General features: G+C 39.7%; 2 long non-coding RNA genes across 2 annotated transcripts in view; both read right to left on the bottom strand.

Annotated features, from left to right (window-relative positions):
- LOC105371874 (uncharacterized) overlaps positions 1-19,531 on the bottom strand; it is a 56,293-nt gene that overhangs the window by 20,061 nt on the left and 16,701 nt on the right. The gene's annotated exons all lie outside the window — the stretch shown is intronic.
- On the bottom strand, positions 4,486-6,314 carry LOC124904050 (uncharacterized). The gene is made up of 2 exons (XR_007065888.1): positions 5,049-6,314; positions 4,486-4,861 (listed from the first exon to the last, which is right to left on the bottom strand). It is a non-coding gene; the product is annotated as an uncharacterized LOC124904050 (long non-coding RNA).

Raw genomic sequence — 19,531 nt, 5'->3', positions numbered from 1 at the left:
ATCTAGAATGATGGATCCTTTCCAGAAGGTTTTCATTTACTTTGCCAAGCTCCCTCAGAAGAAAAATTATCTATGGCAGCTATAGCGTTATGAAATGTCTTTCTTAACTAATAAGACATGAAAGCTGAAATTCTTCTTGATCCATGGGCTGCAGAATAGATGTTGTGTTAGCAGGCATGGAAACAACGTTCATCTCTTTGTATATCTCAAACAGAGCTCTTGACTAAGTGCATTGCCAATGAGCAATAGTATTTTGAAAAGAATCTTTTTTCTGAGTAGTAGATCTCAACAGTGGGCTTAAAATATTCAGTGAACCATGCCATCAACAGATATTCTGCCATGCAGGCTTTGTTGTTCCATTTATGGAGTACAGGCAGAGTAAATTTAGCATCATTTGAGGGCCTGAGGATTTTTTTGAATGGTAATTGAACATTGGCTTCAACTTAAGCTACCAGCGACATTTTTATCACCTAACAAGAGAGTCAGCCTGTCCTCTGAAACTTTGAAGCCAGGTAATAGCTTTGATTCTCTAGCTATGGGAAAAGTCCTAGATGGCAGCTTCTTCCAATAGAAGGCTGTTTCATCTACATTGAAAAACTATTGTTTAGTGTAGCTATCTTCATCAATTATGTTAGCTAGGTCTTCTGGATAATTTGCTGCAGCTTCTATATCAGCACTTGCTGTTTCACCTTGCACTTTTATGTTATGGAGATGGCTTCTTTCCTTAAACCTCATGAACCAACTTCTGCTAGCTTCCAATTTTACTTCTGCAGCTTCCTCACCTGTCTTAGCCTTCACAGAACTACAGAGAATTAGGGCCTTGCTCTGGATTAGGCTTTGGTTTCAGAGAATGCTGTGGCTGGTTTGGTCTTCTATCCAGACCCCTAAAACTTTCTCCATATTGGTAATAAGGCTGTTTTGCTTACTTATTCATATGTTCAGTGAAATAGCACTTTCAAATAGCACTTTTCCTTTGCATTCACAAATTTGCTGTTTGGCACAAGAGGCCTAGCTTTCAACCTATCTCAGCTTTCAAAATGCCTTCTTCACTAATCTTATGATTAAAATGAGAAACATGTGACTTTTCCACTAACTTAAACACTCAGACGCCATGTAGGGTTATTATCTGGCCTAATCCCAATATTGTTGTGTCTCAGGGAATGGGGAGGCTGAAGGAGAAGGAGAGAGATAGGGAAACAGCCTGTCAGTGGAGCAGTCAGAATACACAAATTTATTCATTAAGTTTGCTATCTTACATGGGAATGGTCTGTAGTGGCCCAAAACAATTGCAATAGTAACACCAAAGATCACTGTTCACAGATCATCATAACAGATATAATAATAATTTAAAAGATTAAAATATTGCTAGAATTACCAAAATGTGAGACAGAGACATGAAGTGAGCCTATGCAATTGGAAAAATGGTGTTGATAGACTTGCTCTACACAGAGTTGCCACAAACCTTCAATTTGTAAAAAAACAGTATCTGGGAAGTGCAATAAAACAAGGTCTACCCCTAAACTAAATAGAGGTTCTGGAGTTGAGAGTTTAGCCTTTGGGAGCCTGAGTGATTGAAGTCTTGGTGCTGGGATTGAGAGGTAGCGTGTATCCAAGTCCTTTTTTTTTCGATGCGGTCTCAGTCTGTCACCCAGGCTGGAGTGCACTGGCACGATCTTGGCTCACTGCAACCACTGTGGTGGTTCTGAAACTAAGGAGAGGAGGCTTTGTAGCACCTTAAATTCCAGGCCTTTGCAATACTGGAAAGCACACAGGAAGGGGGCGGGAGAAATGTTGAAATCCAATCTCTTAAAGCAAAACTTTCAAATACCAGACAGACCTTTCTTTCGAGCCTCGCTCATATATCCAACCACTTGGATGTTTTTTCCTGTTGAATATCTGGTTGGCATCTCAAAGAAAATGCATCAAAAATAGAAGTCTTAACATTTCTTTGTCTTCTCCATCTCAGTAAATAGAAACACCCTAGTTGCCAAGCTAGAGACTATTCTTTACTTCTCTCTCCCCCATTCCCCTCGGGTGATCCAATGGTACTGTTGACTGCTTTCAAGAGGTATCCCAAAGATATTCACTTCTTTTTATCTGCTGCTACCACCCTAGTCCAAACTGCCATCATCTAGCACGCAGATTTCTGCATTAGCCTCCACCCTGTTGTTCCTGAATCCAATCTTGCACCCTGCAAGATTATTATTTGGGTTATTATCTGGTCTAATCTCAATATTGTTGTGTCTCAGGGAATAGGGATTCTGCAGTTCAGAAAGGTGAAAAGCCTTGCTCCTTTAAGAAATCCCAGCAGGGCAGAAAAAGAATGTTGGCAAAGAACCCAGAAAGGAAGAAAATGAGCCCTGGGATGACAGGATGGGGCTAAAGGATCCCAGGCTGGAGAGGCAGGGAGCTGACTGGCTGCCATTTTGAATCACAACAAAAACTTGCCAGAGCTCTCTAGAAAAACAAAAGTTTGAGAAGTTTGAATTTAAAGAAGCAGGAAAAGCCTATTAAACTATTGGAACCTCTAATACTACTGACGAAGAGCTAATGATGCAATTAACATAAATATTCCAATTTAAGGTAAAACCACAATAAGCATTATTTCTTCTCCACTCAAAACCACGATGCAAGTTACGTCTGATGACCCAGACTTCAAAAACAATGCTGCTTTTGTTTGTGTTTTTATTAAGCCATGCTGCTTAAGTGTATACTCCAAAGGTTTCGGGACAAGGAATTGGTAAGCACATAGTCTGAAACCATTTCCTTATTTTTTGATAGCAATAATAGTAAGTAAGTAAGTATAGAGTATAGAGTATTGGTAAGTATAGAGTTGGTAGTACTCTTTTGGTTTTTGGTTGTTTTTTGTTGTTGTTGTTTGTTTTTTTGTTTTTTCGAGACGTAGTTTCACTCTTTTTGCCCAGCCTGGAGTTAAAAGGCGCACTCTCGGCTCACTGCAACCTCTGCCTCCCAAATTCAAGTGATTCTCCTGCCTCAGCCTCCCAAGTAGCTGATTACAGGCACACGCCACCACGCCTGGCTAATTTTGTATTTTTAGTAGAGATGAGGTTTCACCATGTTGGCCGGACTGGTCTCGAACTCCTGACCTCAGGTGATCCGCCAGCCTCAGCCTCCCGAAGTGCTGAGATTACAGGCATGAGCCACTGTGCCCAGCCTAGAGTTGGTAGTAATCCAACAGGTCACTTGAGCAGGTAAGGATCTGGGTTCTCAGCCCCTCCCAATGCATTCATGTTGCATTTGAGACTTTGATACCATTAAATCAAATTAGCTACATTTCTTTTTCAGAACATCTAATTACATTTGTGAATTAAAATAGAAGTAGAGCAATGTTCCAAGAGGCAATATTAGAACCTTAACCTCCTCCTCCATTGGAGTTCAAAGATATTAAGCTGGGCCAGGCACGGTGGCTCATGCTTGTAATCCCCGCACTTTGGGAGGCCAAGGTGAGCAGATGGCTTGAGCTCAGGAGTTTGAGATGAGCCTGGGCAACATGGCAAAACCACATCTCTACAAAAAATAATAAAAATTAGCCGGGCATGGTGGTGCATGCCTGTGGTCCCAGCTACTGAGGAGGCTGAGGTGGGAGAATGGATTGAGCCCAGGAGTTTGAGGCTACAGTGAGCCAAGATTGCACCATTGCACTCCAGCCTGCACAAGAGTAAGATATTGTCAAAAAAAAAAAAAAAAAAAAAAAGATTAAACTGTTAAACGTATAGATTAAGGTACTCTCAAATTAACTGAGGTTGTTATATTTTGTTGTACATTTCACATAACACCAACAGCACAATGAGAGTATGTTTTCTCATTTAAAGGGATCTCAGATTTTAAAAGACTGAGAAACACAGGTTGAAAGGTTTATTTGCTCCTTCTCCATTACTCTGTTGAGCTTTTTGTAAGTATCAGATGCAGAAAGCAGATTGTGGGTTATTCCACAGCTCTTAGTTGCCCCATGTAATGAATGTGTCTCAGCGTAAACATGGAAGAATTTCAAAAGAAAATGATTGAATTATTAAATATAGTGTTCTCTTTTTTTATTCATACACTCTCATATTGATAAAAAGGAGTTCAAATAGCTTATTTAAAAAGTACAACCAAACTATTGGGACAACAGTAAAATGACAAAAAAAAAAAAAACTAAAACAGCAACAATATCGAGAAAACACATAATGAGAGGAGGAAAAGGATGGAGAAAAATTTAGGAACATGTAAAATGATACTCCATTTGTACAAATGATTTTAAAAGAAAATAGCGTCTTTTGCCATTAAAAATGGCTGCAGCTGTATCTCAAAGGAATTAACCTACTCTGGCCAGCCAGATTTAATAACAAATGAACCCTTGAAAATACTGCAGCTGCAAAAGACCTCTAGAGAGAGAGCTGTATCAGTCTGGAACATTCCACAAAACAAAAAAGAAATCTTAAAAAATAACCCCTGTAGGTATATCAGAAAATAACTCCATAGTGGTGACATTCTATCAAGAGCAACTTTATTTTTTCCATGAGAAATATAATAAACACTCATATATGAGAACTGAGAGTCCCATAAAAATTCATTTGTCTTCTTTCCCAGAACAATTGTAAGACTATTTCCAGTAAAGGCAGCATGAGGTCAGATAATTCCTATTCCTAGAAAACAAGCACAAAACTGGACTAAATTATTTAAAATAATTATTTTGAGGTACTGAAAAAAATGACCAACAACAAAAAAAAATGAGACACAAGAAACTGTGAAGATTTTCCTCTTGAAATGGTGCTGCTGTATCTGGTATAGTAGTGGTGGGTATGTGGCCTTCTTTCCTGGAGCTGTGGTCGTCCTTTCCAACACACTCAGTCTTCAGAACCTGCATCATTACAGGTAGGGAGAGATGGCAATGCCAGATTGAAGCTGGCAGCAAAGACCCACAGCTCTACAACTGCAGGCAGGGAATGCAATTCAGAGCAGTAAGCAGACCAGTAAGAAATTTAATGGAGGAAACATGGAAGTCCACAAGCATAGAAAATCTGAGAAACTTAACTCTCCATACATACCTGACTATCTACAAACCTATGAATGCATGGGAGATACCCATGATAGCCTGGAAAAATGTGAGCTATTTGAGAACTTGCTGATTCTGTGAAGGCATTCCTCAACTCATACATAGCTCATGCAGGAGAAGGAAGAAGTCTTACAAGCACAGTGTCCACAGTATAATCTCCACCAAAATTGCCATCTGACCTCCAAAGCAAAAAGATACTGGGGAGAAGAAGCAGCAGCCTCACATCTGAAGAAGAAGCCCCTAAGAAGCCAGGGATAATCTGCGTGCCTGTTTTGCCCTATCCCATGACTCATTACCGAGGGTTTTCTCTCTCCCTTGGCTCCAACTCAACCTTGTTTTTCGTGTCGCTTTGGGGCAATTGGGATTGAGGAACAGAGTTGCTTATTACAAATCATGACTGTCTGAGCAACAGGAGCAAAGGGTTGGGTAGTAATGGGCATGCACCATAAAAATACACCCAGTGAAGACACACAGAACAAGGCAACATGTGGTTCTCACCAGAAACTCAGGAATTTGGAACAGCACATGGTATGAAAATATACCCATTGGGAAAAGAAAAGCACAAGAATGTCTAAATCAGAAGAGTTCCTCATTGGAGACAGGCACCAACAAGGGTCAGTGGACACACATAACCCTCTGCCTTCCTGATTCCCTTAGTCTACATAGTTCAGTTTATAGAAAAATAATCTGAATCAAGAAAGCAAAGTACACTGACACGTTGAATCTCCTTTTCTCTCTGCCAACTTTCTGCGAAGAGAAGCCAACTATTCTACATAATGACCCATGAATACATACGTATATGCCTCGGTGCCAAAACCAGAAACACAAGAAGGGTCCCACTATAAGCCAAAGCCTCGAAGAATTACTTTGTAGGCAGTGTAACAATCTTGGTTGAAATAATAGGAGTCAAATCTGCCAGCTGTTAAAGGCTTTATTGTAAAGAAATAGAGAGTTCACAGGAATGTTGGGAAAGCTATAGGCTTAGCCTCAAAATGTGGTCAAGAACTAGAAGAAGCTAGATAGTTGGAAAATACAACTAATGTCACACTGCAGGGACAATCTGTTTCACGGTCAGAGCGCCAGACAACTACCGCAGGATTGTCAATGCCAACAGCGTTGCATGCGGCCACTGAATTCTCGAAGCTGTCATTGCTGCTGGGCTCTCAATATGGACACCATGAAATGGTATCTCTAACATCTTTTGTTTTTTTAATTTTACATTCCAGGATACATGTGCAGGATGTGCATGTTTGTTACATAGGTAGATACGTGCCATGGTGGTTTGCTGTACCTATCAACCCATCACCTAGATATTAAGCCCAGTATTCATTAGCTATTTTTCCCAATGCTCTTCCTCCTCCCACCCCACTCCCTGACAGGCCTGAGTGTGTGTTGGTCCCCACCCTGTGTTCATGTGTTCTCATTGTTCAGTTCCCACTTACAAGTGAGAACATGTGGTGTTTAGTTTTCTGTTCCTGCGTTAGTTTGCTGAGGATACTGGCTTCCAGCTCCATCCATGTCCCTGCAAAGGACATGATCTCATTCCTTTCATGGCTGCATAGTATTCCATGGTGTACATGTACCACATTTTCTTTATCCAGTCTATCATTGATGGGCATTTGCGTTGATTCCATTTCTTTGCTATTGTGAATAATCTCTACCATCTTTTATCTTTGCCTCCCCTCCTCTGGTTCCAAAGACTTGAGCAGGAGCATCTTATTAGTTGGGCTTGAGTAACCTGCCTGCCCCCAGGTTAACAGGGGAAGGCAAGAGGGAAGATTGGCTTCCTTCCATTTGGCTGCCAAAGTGGACAGTTTTTGCCCTCCACCAAGACTTCAAGTTTATAAATTGTTCAGTTTAGTGTCCAAAAGAGTTGTGCTAAATTTAGGAAAGTTTAAATGAGGATTAGGAGAATGGCTTGTTTTGAGCAAGTAATACTTTGGGGAATGGAAAAGAATGATTTATCTTGAAGGAACATGAACCTCTTAAAAGACAAGGCTTCACAAGAGAGAACATCTGGAAGATGAACAGCTGTGGAAGTGTATAGGAGAAGAGAAAAATTGCTCGATGACAAACAGAATCAAATTTATCATAGGAGTTTCTTGTTCTATTCTTTTCTGTGTGTTTTTTGTTTATTTGTTTGTTTGTTTTGGTCACTACTCCAGGATCTCCATACTCTTCTTGGTATGCATCAATTATTATCAATCTTAAATTTAAATATTTAAATATTCAGACTGCATAAAAGATTTTCTTTCTTATCCAAAAACATATCCTGAACCAAAACAAAGCCACTTGCCATAGGATTCTCACCTCAGAAACTTTTCTAGTTTAATACTCTTATTTTTTTAATGATAGAAAGAAGAATTTAAAAAATCATATGCTGGTGACCAATTCCTTAGATTAATTGAAAGTTCCCAGCATCATGACCAAGGACCTCTGGAAATAATGGGTTTTATCTACTTCGTTGTATTTGTAAACCATTTTGTTGGCTGCTTTTTAGACATTACAAATATTTCAAATAACTTCCTGTATGTTGACAAGGTTGATGGCCACCTTGTTCTTCTAGTCCTGAGCCTCTCTAATGACACCAGTGATACAGAGTTGAGACTCTCCAGAACACCAAAAATGTGAATGGATTCCATGTATCTATTTAAGCTGTATTCTGGAGCTTTTCTCTCTTAAGTCCAATGTTGCAGTGCCTGTACATTTTTGAGCCAAACATTGAATGCTTTCCTCAACAAGAAATACTCTACAATTCGAATAATTTGCCAAGTAGAGCTAAGGTCAAGGTCAAGAGGGAAATCTAAGGTTTCACCAACTTTGGATTAAATATTATAAACAAATGAAAGAAAATCTTCACAATAGTATTTGCTTTTAACTTATTTCAACTGGGAAACTCTGTAGTCATGTCATTAAGAACTTCATATAACTTATTTTGTGCCTTTTATACATCAGAAAAAGTTCAGATTTGAACTATAAAACATCTTTGATAAGTGCTAAAAGAAAAATAAATCACTTGGATTCTTACACAAACTAGCTTTAAAAAAAGCAATTAAATGCATTTTATCCTTTGCTTGTTTTGAGACTTTGCCATGTAGTAAATCCAGTTTTCACCACCCTATCCTGGGATGACTTGAAGAATCTTTCCTATGCATGCTCAGGATTTTGCTTAAAAAGGATAATGGGGCCTTACTTTCCTTGGTTACCCCTACTGTTCAGTAAAGTCTTTATGAGGAGTCTTCGGGGGGATAAAGAGAAGGAAAGTAAGAAATATGTGATCTGTCCCTAGCCAATGTACATCTCCCCTGAAGCTTGTAATGAGGAAGCATAATATAACAAGGTAGAATTCTAAGTCATGAGCAATAGCAAACTATGGAGTTGTCCACAGCGAGCCTGGAGCAGAAAGCAAGAGAATCCCTGCAGAGAAGCTACTTCAGTTGGCAGTGAGTCTTTTTGAGCATGGAAAGCGAAGAAGAGAAAGAAGAGGCTGATTCTTGATCCCCTTGTTATTTACTATCACAACTTAAATGGAAGATTTATGTTTCAAGATAAATGCATCCTCCCCTCCCACTCTAATCTTCAGAGATTATGGGAAAACAGCTGTATAGTGAGCATGGTGTACCAGAAACTGAAGAATTCCTGAAAAAAAAAAAAAAGCTAACAAGAGCACATTTGAAAAGGAAACTTGGCCTGGAATGGTTCTCCACACTCAGCTTAACACTTGGGGGCAGGGGGCAAGGCAAATAACAGGACAATTTTTTTTCAGTGGGTCGACCCTTCGCAACACCCCTTGCTTGGACCACTAATGTTCATGCAACGTGGCTGGGGAATAATAGAGAGAAAAACGCAAGACAAGTGAATGGATGTAAACTCACTAGGTTTAGTTGGGACTAAAACTGCATTTCTAATAGACTGGTCCTGAATATGTCTTCCTGCAAGCTTTCACCCTCACTTGGTACTACTTAAATCAAGTCCACAACATCTGTTCTCCACATGAGTGGTTTGCTTCTGCTTCTTAGTGATAAATTCTTACCATTGAAGTCATTAAGCTTTGCCATTCATTCTTCTTTCCCTAGCCTGATTCTTTTTCCTTTAGGTAAGTCTGATCTGATTTTTCAGGGGTTGCTCGGTTAGTTGGGGATATTCCAGTCTTGACTGCTCTGAAAAGGCAGCTCAAGCGGCATCACTTCCTGCCTGGGCATGTTGACCTGGCATGTTGCCAATCTTTACCTGCCAGCATCTCTGGCCCTGATATCCCTAATGGCTCACACCCTCTGCCATGTGTAGACCCCTCCCTTCTACTCCCAAAATGCAAATTTACAGAGAATTCCCCATCACTGGAATTCTTCATGCCTAAAGGACTTCAGCAATACATGGGCACAGATTTAAACATGGTGTCTATTGGGACATGCAGATGGGAGAGAAATGAGCTAGGGCGACCCAGGAGTGTAGCATCTCCTGTTACCTGTACCAGTGGATATAATTTGCAAACTATGTGTACCTTTGAAAATAATCCCTTCCAAACCAGATATAGTGGACAGTTTTACTGTTTTTTTTTATGTTTTGATAAACTATATTTTTAAGGGCAGTTTTAGGTTCACAGCAAAATTATGCAGAAAGGTAAGAAATTTCCCTTTCCCCACCCTTCCCCACACATGCACAGCCTCCCCCATCATCCACATCCCCCACCAGAGTGGCCCATTTGTTACAACTGATGAACGGACATTGACACCTCATGATCACAAGAGTCCATAGTTTACATAAGGGTTCACTCTTGGTGTTGTACGTTCTATGTTTTTAGACGTGTATTCACCATTACAATATCATACAGAATAGTTTCACTGCCCTAAGAATCCTCTATGCTGCACCTATTCATCTCTCTCTTTCCTCTACAGACATCACGTTTTGATACAACACAGTCACTTCGATTACTGCTTGTTTGAATTATGACATTTAAAAAGTAGATTGAAATTGAAACAGTCTACGGTTCATAATAAGCATAACTCATACTATGATGTAATTAGACAAAGAACAGTTTTAATACCTGGCTTTCCTGAGAGCATGAACATGAATGAACCCTGATCATTGGGGAACTTATTTTCGACATTAGAGGTGCTAGGGATAAATTGCGTGTATTTTCTTTTTTCTAATTAAACTTTTGATCTTTGTCCACACTTACATGACTTAAGTATTGTGTCAGCTTCATCAAGAATTTGGCCTTTCATTTATTTTGGGATAATGTGTTCACATTAGCACGAGCAAGTGTTAAACTAGTTCTTTTGGTTTTAATGGTTTTGTCCTAGTCTGTGTTAGTGGTTTATAGAAAAACTTTATTTTTCAGTAAAATATAAATCTAGGTATTAAACCATCGACATCTATTATTTAGTTAAGTATTTAAAACCCATTAAAAATTTCTAGGTTCCTTCCTAAAAGAGTATTATGGTTTTGTCTTTTAGATAATGAATATTTACCATTTTTTTGCAATGGCTTAAGTTTAAGATATTTGAAACTGAAGTAAGACAAATATTCAGTAGTAGACAGCTGTTACTTTTAGTTTCTTAGCATCTCTTTTCCCTTTATTCTTTTCTTTTTTTTATAGAGACAGGGTCTCACTATGTTGCCCAGGCTGGTCTTGAACTTCCAGGCTGAAGCCATCCTCCTGCCTCAACATCCGAAAGTGCTGGGATTACAGGCATGAGCCACTGCACCCAGCCTCCCCTTTATTCTTTAACCATGCCCTTTTTCTAGAAGGAATTTCATCTCCTCCATGACAATTGTGGCGTTCTATTTGATCCTGGCAAGCTGAGACAATCATGAACTTCACCCCTCTCTCTGCAGCAGTTGGTTCAAAGCAGTGAGCCTGTGACCCAAGAGAGAATACCTAGATTCAGCACTCTGGTATTAAGAATTGAAGCAGGATTCCATTTCCTTTGTGATAGTTAAGCTAAGGAGGCAAAAGCTTGGAGTTGTCCACAGATATGGCTCCAGAGTCAGAGAGAAAGGCAGTTTGAGGAAACGAAGTTAGTATGCAGAGCCAAGGAGAGATCAGAGAGCTTCAGTTGTACACAGGATACTGCATTACATTAGATGAGGCTATATTGGGAGTAGCAATTGGAAAGAAAGGCCTTTGTGAGAATGGGCAGCCAACAGGTGCACTGTAGCAAAAGTCACTTCCTCAATAAATCCTTCTTTCTAAAATAGAATATGACCCATAAAAGTGAAGAGTACCCAGTGAGTGAAATTTGACACTTGGTTCACAAAAGTAACATTATGTATTACATGTGTACATGCCAGGAGATATACACAGATATGTGTGTGTGTGTGCATTTGTGTGTGTGTAATCTTTACTAATTCATCTGGTAAGAACAAACTGTAAAAAAGAAATGGAAAAGAGATACAAAGTTAAAGAGGAATTTTATAATTTATCAAGCTGTTTTTTCCCTCCTAACTACACTCCCCTCCATGTAAATTAATTAAGATTACATATGTGCCATTTATAACACATTTCCTAGACAGCTATGATAATATAGACATTTTAGGTATCTAATATAATCATGAGAAAGATCTCCAGAGCTTGTAGGCATGCCTTTAACGTGTGGAAGAATGGTCCTTGTAATAATTTGTACTTGTTTTTCCCTCCTTGGATCTAAGTAAAGTGTGAGGAACTCAGATATATAACATGAAACGGAAATAGCCTAATGTTTAAAAAAAAACCACAATGTTCCCCAATCAGAGAATCAATATAGAGGCAAATAATATTATATTTCATCATCTTTGATATGCATGTGAACCTTTCTAGCAATTCTTGAATAATTATAAAGTGAAAAAGATTCATTATTCCTTTTCTACTTGAATATTTTTTATGAAAGGAATCTGTTGTTTACAATTACATAGAATTCCAAAAAATCCATTTCTACCAGTCAAGAAATTCACTTACTTATTTTTGTTCTTAGCAATGTCTGTTGTTGATGTCCTTTTTTTAAAATTTTATTTTATTTTACCTTAAGTTCCAGGATACATGTGGAGAATGTGCAGGTTTGTTACAAAGGCATACACGTGCCATGGTGGTTTGCTGTACCTATCAACTTGTCATCTAGGTTTTAAGCCCTATGTGCATTAGGTATTTTTCCTAATGCTCTCCCTCCCCTTTCCCCACAGCCCCAGACAGCTCCCGAAGTGTTTTGTTCCCCTCCTTGTGTCAAGGTGTTCTCATGGTTCAACTCCCACTTATGAGTGAGAACATGTGGTGTTTGGGTTTCTGTTCCTGTGTTAGTTTGCTAAGGATGATGCCTTCTAGCTTCATCCATGTCCCTGCAAAGGACATGATCTCATTCTTTTTATGGCTGCATAGTATTCCATGGTGTATATGTACCACATTTTCTTTATCCAGTCTATTATTGATGGGCATTTGGGTTGGTTCCAAGTGTTTGCTATTGTAAATAGTGCTGCAATAAACATACAAATGCATTTGTCTTTATAGTAGAAGGATTTATATTCCTTTGAGTATATATCCAGTAATGGGATTGCTGGGTCAAATGGTATTTCTAGTTCTAGATCCTAGAGGAATGACCACACTATCTTCCACAATGGTTAAAGGAATTTACATTCCTTCCAACACTGTAAAAGCGTTCTTATTTCTCCATAGCCTCGCCAGCATCTATTGTTTCTTGACTTTTTAATAATTGCCATTCTGACTGGCATGAAATGGTATCTCATTGTGGTTTTGATTTGCATTTCTCTAATGATCAGTGATGACGAGTTTTTTTTCATATGTTTGTTGGCACATAAATGTCTTCTTTTGAGAAGTGTCTGTTCATATCCTTTGCCCGCTTTTTGATGGGGTTGTTTTTTTTTTTGTAAATTTGTTTAAGTTCCTTGTAGATTCCAGATATTAGACCTTTGTCAGATGGGTAGATTGCAAAAATGTTTTCCAATTCTCTAGGTTGTCTGTTCACTCTGATAGTTTCTTTTGCTGTGCAGAAGCTCTTTATTTTAATTAGATCCCATTTGTCAATTTTGGCTTTTGTTGCAATTGCTTTTGGTGTTTCAGTCATGAATTCTTTGCCCATGCCTATGTCCTGAATGGCATTGCCTAGGTTTTCTTCTAGGGTTTTCATGGTTTGGGGTTTTATATTTAAGTCTTCAATCTATCTTGAGTTAATTTTTGTATAAGGTGTAAGGAAGGGGTCCAGTTTCAATTTTCTGCATATGACTAGCCAGTTTTCCCAGCACCATTTATTAAATAGGGAATCCTTTCCCCATGGGTTGATTTGGTCAGGTTTGTTGAAGATCAGATGGTTTAGATGTGTGGTGTTATTTCTGAGGTCTCTGTTCTGTTCCATTGGTCCGTATTTCTGTTTTGGTACCAGTACCATGCTGTTTTGGTTACCATAGCCTTGTAGTATAGTTTTAAGTCAGGTAGTGTGATGCCTCCAGCTTTGTTCTTTTTGCTTAGGATTGTCTTGGCTATACAGGCTCTTTTTTGGTTCCATATGAAATTTAAAGAACTTTTTTCTAATTCTGTGAAGAATGTCAATAGTAGCTTGATGGGAATGGCATTGAATCTATAAATTACTTTGGGCAGTATGGCCATTTTCATGATATTGATTCTTCCTATTCATGAGCATGGAATGTTTTTCCATTTGTTTCTGTCTTTTCTTATTTCCTTGAGCAGTGGTTTGTAGCTCTCGTTGAAGAGGTTCTTCACGTCCCTTGTAAGCTGTATTCCTAGGTATTTTATTCTCTTTATAGCAATTGCGAATAGGAGTTCATTCATGATTTGGCTCTTTGCTTGTCGACTGTTGGTGTGTGGGAATGCTTGTGATTTTTGCACATTGATTTTGTATCCTGAGACCTTGCTGAAGTTGCTTATCAGGTTAAAGAGTTTTGGGGCTGAGACGATGGGGTTTTCTAAATATAGAATCATGTCATCTGCAAACAGAGACAATTTTACTTCCTCTCTTCCTATTCAAATACCTTGTATTTTTTTCTCTTGCCTGATTGTGCTGGCCAGAACTTCCAATACTATGTTGAATAGGAGTGGTGAGAGAGGGCATCCTTGTCTTGTGCCAGTTTTCAAAGGGAATGCTTCCAGCTTTTGCCCATTCAGTATGATATGGGCTATAGGTTTGTCGTAAATAGCTCTTATTATTTTGAGATATGGTCCATCAATATCTAGTTTATTGAGAGTTTTTAACATGAGGGAATGTTGAATTTTATTGAAGGCCTTTTCTGCATATATTGAGATACTCATGTGGTTTTTGTCATTGGTCCTGTTTATGTGATGGATTACGTTTAGTGATTTGCATATGTTGAGCCAGCCTTGCATCCCAGGGATGAAGCTGACTTGATCATGGTGGATAAGCTTTTTGATGTGCTACTACATTTGGTTTGCCAGTATTTCATTGAGGATTTTCTCATCAATGTTCATCAGGGATATTGGCCTGAAGTTTCCTTTTTTTGTTGTGTCTCTGCCAGGTTTTGGTATCAGGATGATGCTGGCCTCATAAAATGAGTTAGGAAGGAACAATTTCAACTGTTTGGAATAGTTTCAGAAGGAATGGTACCAGCTCCTCTTTGTACCTCTGGTTGAATTCAGCTGTGAATTCATCTGGTCCTGTGCTTTTTTTGGTTGGTAAGCTATTAATTACTGACTCAATTTCAGAACTTGTTATTGGTCTATTGAGGGATTCGACTTCTTCCTGGTTTAGTCTAGGGAAAGTGTGTGTGTCCAGGAATTTATCCATTTCTTCTAGATTTTCTAGTTTATTTGCATAGAGGTGTTTATAGCATTCTCTGATGGTAGTTTGTATTTCTATGGGGTCAGTGGTGATATCCCCTTTAGCATTTTTTATTGTGTCTATTTGATTCTTCTCTCTTTTCTTCTTTATTAGTCGAGCTAGTGGTCTATCTATTTTGTTAATTTTTTCAAAAAAAAGCTCCCGGATTCATTGATTTTTTGAAGGGTTTTTTGTGTCTCTATCTCTTTCAGTTCTGCTCTGATTTTAGTTATTTCTTATCTTCTGCTAGCTTTTGGATTTGTTTGCTCTTGCTTCTCTAGTTCTTTTGATTGTGATGTTAGGGTGTTGATTTCAGATCTTTCCCGCTTTCTGATGTGGGCATTTAGTGCCATAAATTTCCCTCTTAACACCTAACTAAATTGATATGCGACCAACAGTAGCCTCGTCTTAGAACTATGTCCTACATTTCTGAATCAATTTAACAGGAGGAGGCCAGCTAGCATCTGCTTTGATTCACATTGCTTGAATCAGTATTTGTCTCTCTGTTGATGTGGGAATTTCGTGTTGTGGTCATGCTGAGCAAATTAGGTATTTGTGATGTTTCTTATTAAATTGTTGACTTCCTGCAGCTGTTGAAAGTCCCTAATTAACATTGACTGGAGGCCAGAGGAGTCTGACCTGGAGGACTCTGACCCTACTGTTAGTATTTTGCTTCTCAGTGCTGCATGGAAGTGAAAATAAATTCACATCCCCAGCTGGTTTGGCAATTTTAAAGTTAACAAATCCAAATTTATGTCATTCTGAAAATAAGATGAACAAAAAGATCATCCTATTTTGCTTCAAAATTAACTTTAAGAAAGTTTTGCTTTAAGAACCGAGACAATATATACTTCTGTGTTCTACTATTGGGGAATTGTAAAAATAAAATTATAGGTGCTGAAGGAGGTAATATAATTAGGTTTGAATTGGAACCTTCAGGTCAAGTGACCAAGACTCCAGATCATCCCTTAAGAAAAAGCATCTATTATTTGCTGTTAGTCTTTGTTCCAGACTGTGTGTACCCTGGTATCAGCATCCTCTCAATTTACTGCCACCTAAATTTGACTATAATACAGCAATCCAAACATAGCAATCATGAGTGTTTCCAATACTGGTCTTCATTCATTGACTCCTATAAACCTGTGCAACTCTAATGTAATTGCCCTGGGGCTACCCCGATCTTGCCTTACCACAGTGACACACAACCAGAGTGTCAATAAATGAAGAGTGAAGTCCCACTCCAAGAGTGCTGGAGACTATGAGAGATGCGTACTGAAGTTTTTGGTTTACTTTTACTTTTATTTTTATGTTTTTTTTTTGAGATAGAATCTCACCATGACTCCCAGGCTGGAGTGAAGTGGAAAGATCTTGGCTCACTATAACCTTCGCCTCCCAGGTTCAAGCGATTCTCCTGCCTCAGCTTCCCAAGTAGCTAGGATTACAGGCGCATGCCACCATGCCCGCCTAAATTTTTTTGTAATTTTAGTAGAGACGGGGTTTCACCATGTTGGCCAGCCTGGTCTTGAGCTCCTGACCTCAAGTGATCCACCTGCCCTGGCCTCCCAAAGTGCTCAGATTACAGGCGTGAGCCACCGTGCCCAGCCTGAAAGGTTTTTTTGTGAAGCTGGAGCACAGATGGTGCCTCACTTATCACATACCAAAGCTTCTTCAAACTCCTTGTTAAAATCCCTGTCTCAAAACCCTCCCAAGGCAGGTGCCACATTTTCTCCTTTTTCCTACCTCTATCATTGACCACAGCCACTGCAGCTTTCTGGCCCCATAATCATACCTCTTCTCACACCCGAGATCACTCAGGATCTGACTGCTGTTTTCTTAGGGAGAATGAGCCTCTTTAGGCTTCTCAGTTCAGCAAAAGGAGAAGATATTTTGAAAGTCCTTTGTTATTTAAAGCTCAAAGTGCCTCACATTTTGATGACAGGCTAGGCCATACTACCCAGCTATTCATACAAATACTAACCTTCATGTTGCTAAGAAGATGTTTTGCAGATGTGATCAACATCTACAATCAGTTGATATTAAGTAAAAGAGGTTATTGTTGATAACTGGAATAGGACTCATCCAATATATTGAAAGATCTTATGGGCAAAACTGAAGTTTCCCCAATGAGGACAAAATTCTGCCTGTGGATTGCAGGATCCAATCCTGCCCAAGAGTTTCCAGCCTTCCCTTCCCTAGCTCAGATGTACCAGATATGCCCAGCCACCCCAGCAATCACATAATCCAAAGGTTTTCAGTGTGTGTGTGTGTGTGTGTGTGTGTGTGTGCATCTTGTCGGTTCTGTTTCTCTGGTAGAAAGTGAGTAAGGCACACTTAAGATTAATATTCATCCCTGTTGGGTGCAGTGGCACACACCTGTAATCCTAGCATTTTGGGAGGCCGAGGTGGGTGGATCGCCTGAGCTCTGGGATTTGAGACCAGCCTGGGCAACATGGTGAGACTCCATCTCTACTAAAAATACAGACTAAAAATTAGCCCAGCATGGTGGTGCATGTGTGTAATCCCAGCTACTTGGGAGGCTGAGATATGAGAATCGCATGAACCCAGGAGGTGGACGTTGCAGTGAGCTGAGATGGCACCACTGCACTACAGCCTGGGTGACAGAGCGGGACTACAGCCTGGGTGACAGAGCGGGACTCTATCTCAAAAAAATAATAAATAAATAAAATAAAAAAGAAATATTCCTCCTATATTTAAATTCCTAGAAAAGTGCTTTAATTATGAATGGATATTGAATTTCTTCAGATGCATTATTTAAGGGACCAAAGAGAGGATTGTATGATTGATTATTTTTTTAATATTTCAAATCGTATTAATAGATTCCCTTGTATTGTGCTATTCTTTCAATAAATTACACTCATTTATGATTTAATGTTTTAATTTCAAATATATATATATTTTATTTTGCAAGGAGACTTGTTAATTTCTACCCACATTGATCTGATGTCAAAGACAGGAATAGAGTTGGGAGGTCCCCGATCCAGGCATGCGGACGAGCATCCTGGTTAACCCATCTAGCAGCCCCAGAAGTCTGTGCCTTACATATTCCTCCCATGGTCATGTGTGAGAACAGCACTCAGGAGGTTTTTCTCTTTTGAAGCTTGCTCAGGCTTGGTAGCCCATTCTCTGTTGTTGGTACCTTGCGTGATCAGGACCCACCTGAGGGAGTCAGCAAATATAAGCCACTTTTTCTCAGGCCTAGTAAATGTTTGATATGGTTTGGCTGTGTCCCCATCCAAATCTCATCTTGAATTGTAGCTTCCTTAATTCCCATGTATTGTGAGAGGGACCTGGTGGGAGATAATTAAATCATGGGGGTGGTTTCCCTCATACTGTTCTCGTGTTAGTGAATAGGTCTCACGAGATCTGATGGTTTTATAAGGGCTTTCCCTTTGTACTTGGCTCTCATTCTCTCTTTGCCTGCTGCCACCATGTAAGGCATGCCTTTCACCTTCCGCCATGACTGTGAGGCCTCCCCAGCCATGTGGAACTGTGAGTCCATCAAACCTCTTTCCTTTATAAATTACCCAGTCTCAGGTATGTCTTTATTAGCAGTGTGAGAACATACTAATACAAGGTTCTTCAGCTTCCTTGAAACCCGATTGGGTTGCTAGACATTTTGGCTTTAATTTCTAGGGAAGGTATAAGAAGCCTATAGCATTTTGTGTGTTGGTCTCTGAACCTGAGCCTGGCACAGATGTGAGGGTTTCTACCATTAACACCCGCCCCCCTTAGGCTCACTGGCTTTTCTCTAGGGCTCTGCTTCTGACCCTGGGGAGGGAGAGTCAGGCAAGACCTTTCAAGGCTTCCAAAAGTGACCAACACACTCCAAAATCTTGATAGTTTTCTAATAAATCTCCTCATCTTTACTCTCGATAGACATCTGTCATGAGCTCCAAAGCATAGCTGCCAGTTTAGCCAGCTGTGCCCTTGCCACGTGGCGAGGATTGCCACACATCCAGAAGGATGGGATAACATGCAGTAAGTGAGACAGCAAAGCAGTCATAACTGGGAGGCCCAGCCTACGGTGTGAATGTCAGCTCCAGTCTTACACAAGACTGATGGATGGATGTCAGCTCCAGTCTTACACAAGGTGGATGGATCCCTTGGGGCCAGGAGTTTGAGACCAGCCTGGGCAACATGGCAAAACCTACCAAAAAAAAAAAAAAAAAGACACCAGTCCTTTTGGATTAAGGCTCCACTCTTGTGATCTTATTTAAACTTACTTACCATCTTAAAGGGCTGATCTCCAAATACAGTCACATCGGGGGTTAGTGCTTCAACATATGGATTTTGGAGAGACGCACTTCAATCCACAGCGAACAGCAATAATAGAAGGTATGCAATTCCTCTTCAGGCTCTTCAGGGTCCTCAATGTGATCCTTCCAGTGAGCATATGGCAGCCTAAGGGGTGGGATCTGAGTGCCCCCAGTGAACTTCGGAATTGCTTAAAATCCCCACCCCTTCTCACTGAAAGCATAGAAGGACTTTATTTAAAAGTAAAGTATACTTTGATTGTGAAAGAAGTGTGACAGATGCAATCACTATCTCCCCACTATGGACGAATTTGTGAGATCGTCTTTAGTCATTTTGCTTGCCCATCAAGACATAGACAGATAGCAGGTGAGTTTGTTTGTTTGGTTGGTTTTTGATGGAGTCTTGCTGTATCACCCAGGCT

Source organism: Homo sapiens, chromosome 17 (genome assembly GCF_000001405.40).
Source record: "Homo sapiens chromosome 17, GRCh38.p14 Primary Assembly".
Classification (NCBI taxonomy): Eukaryota; Metazoa; Chordata; class Mammalia; order Primates; family Hominidae; genus Homo; species Homo sapiens.
The sequence above is the reverse complement of the archived record's forward strand: the minus strand, read 5'-3'. Positions and strand labels throughout refer to the sequence as shown.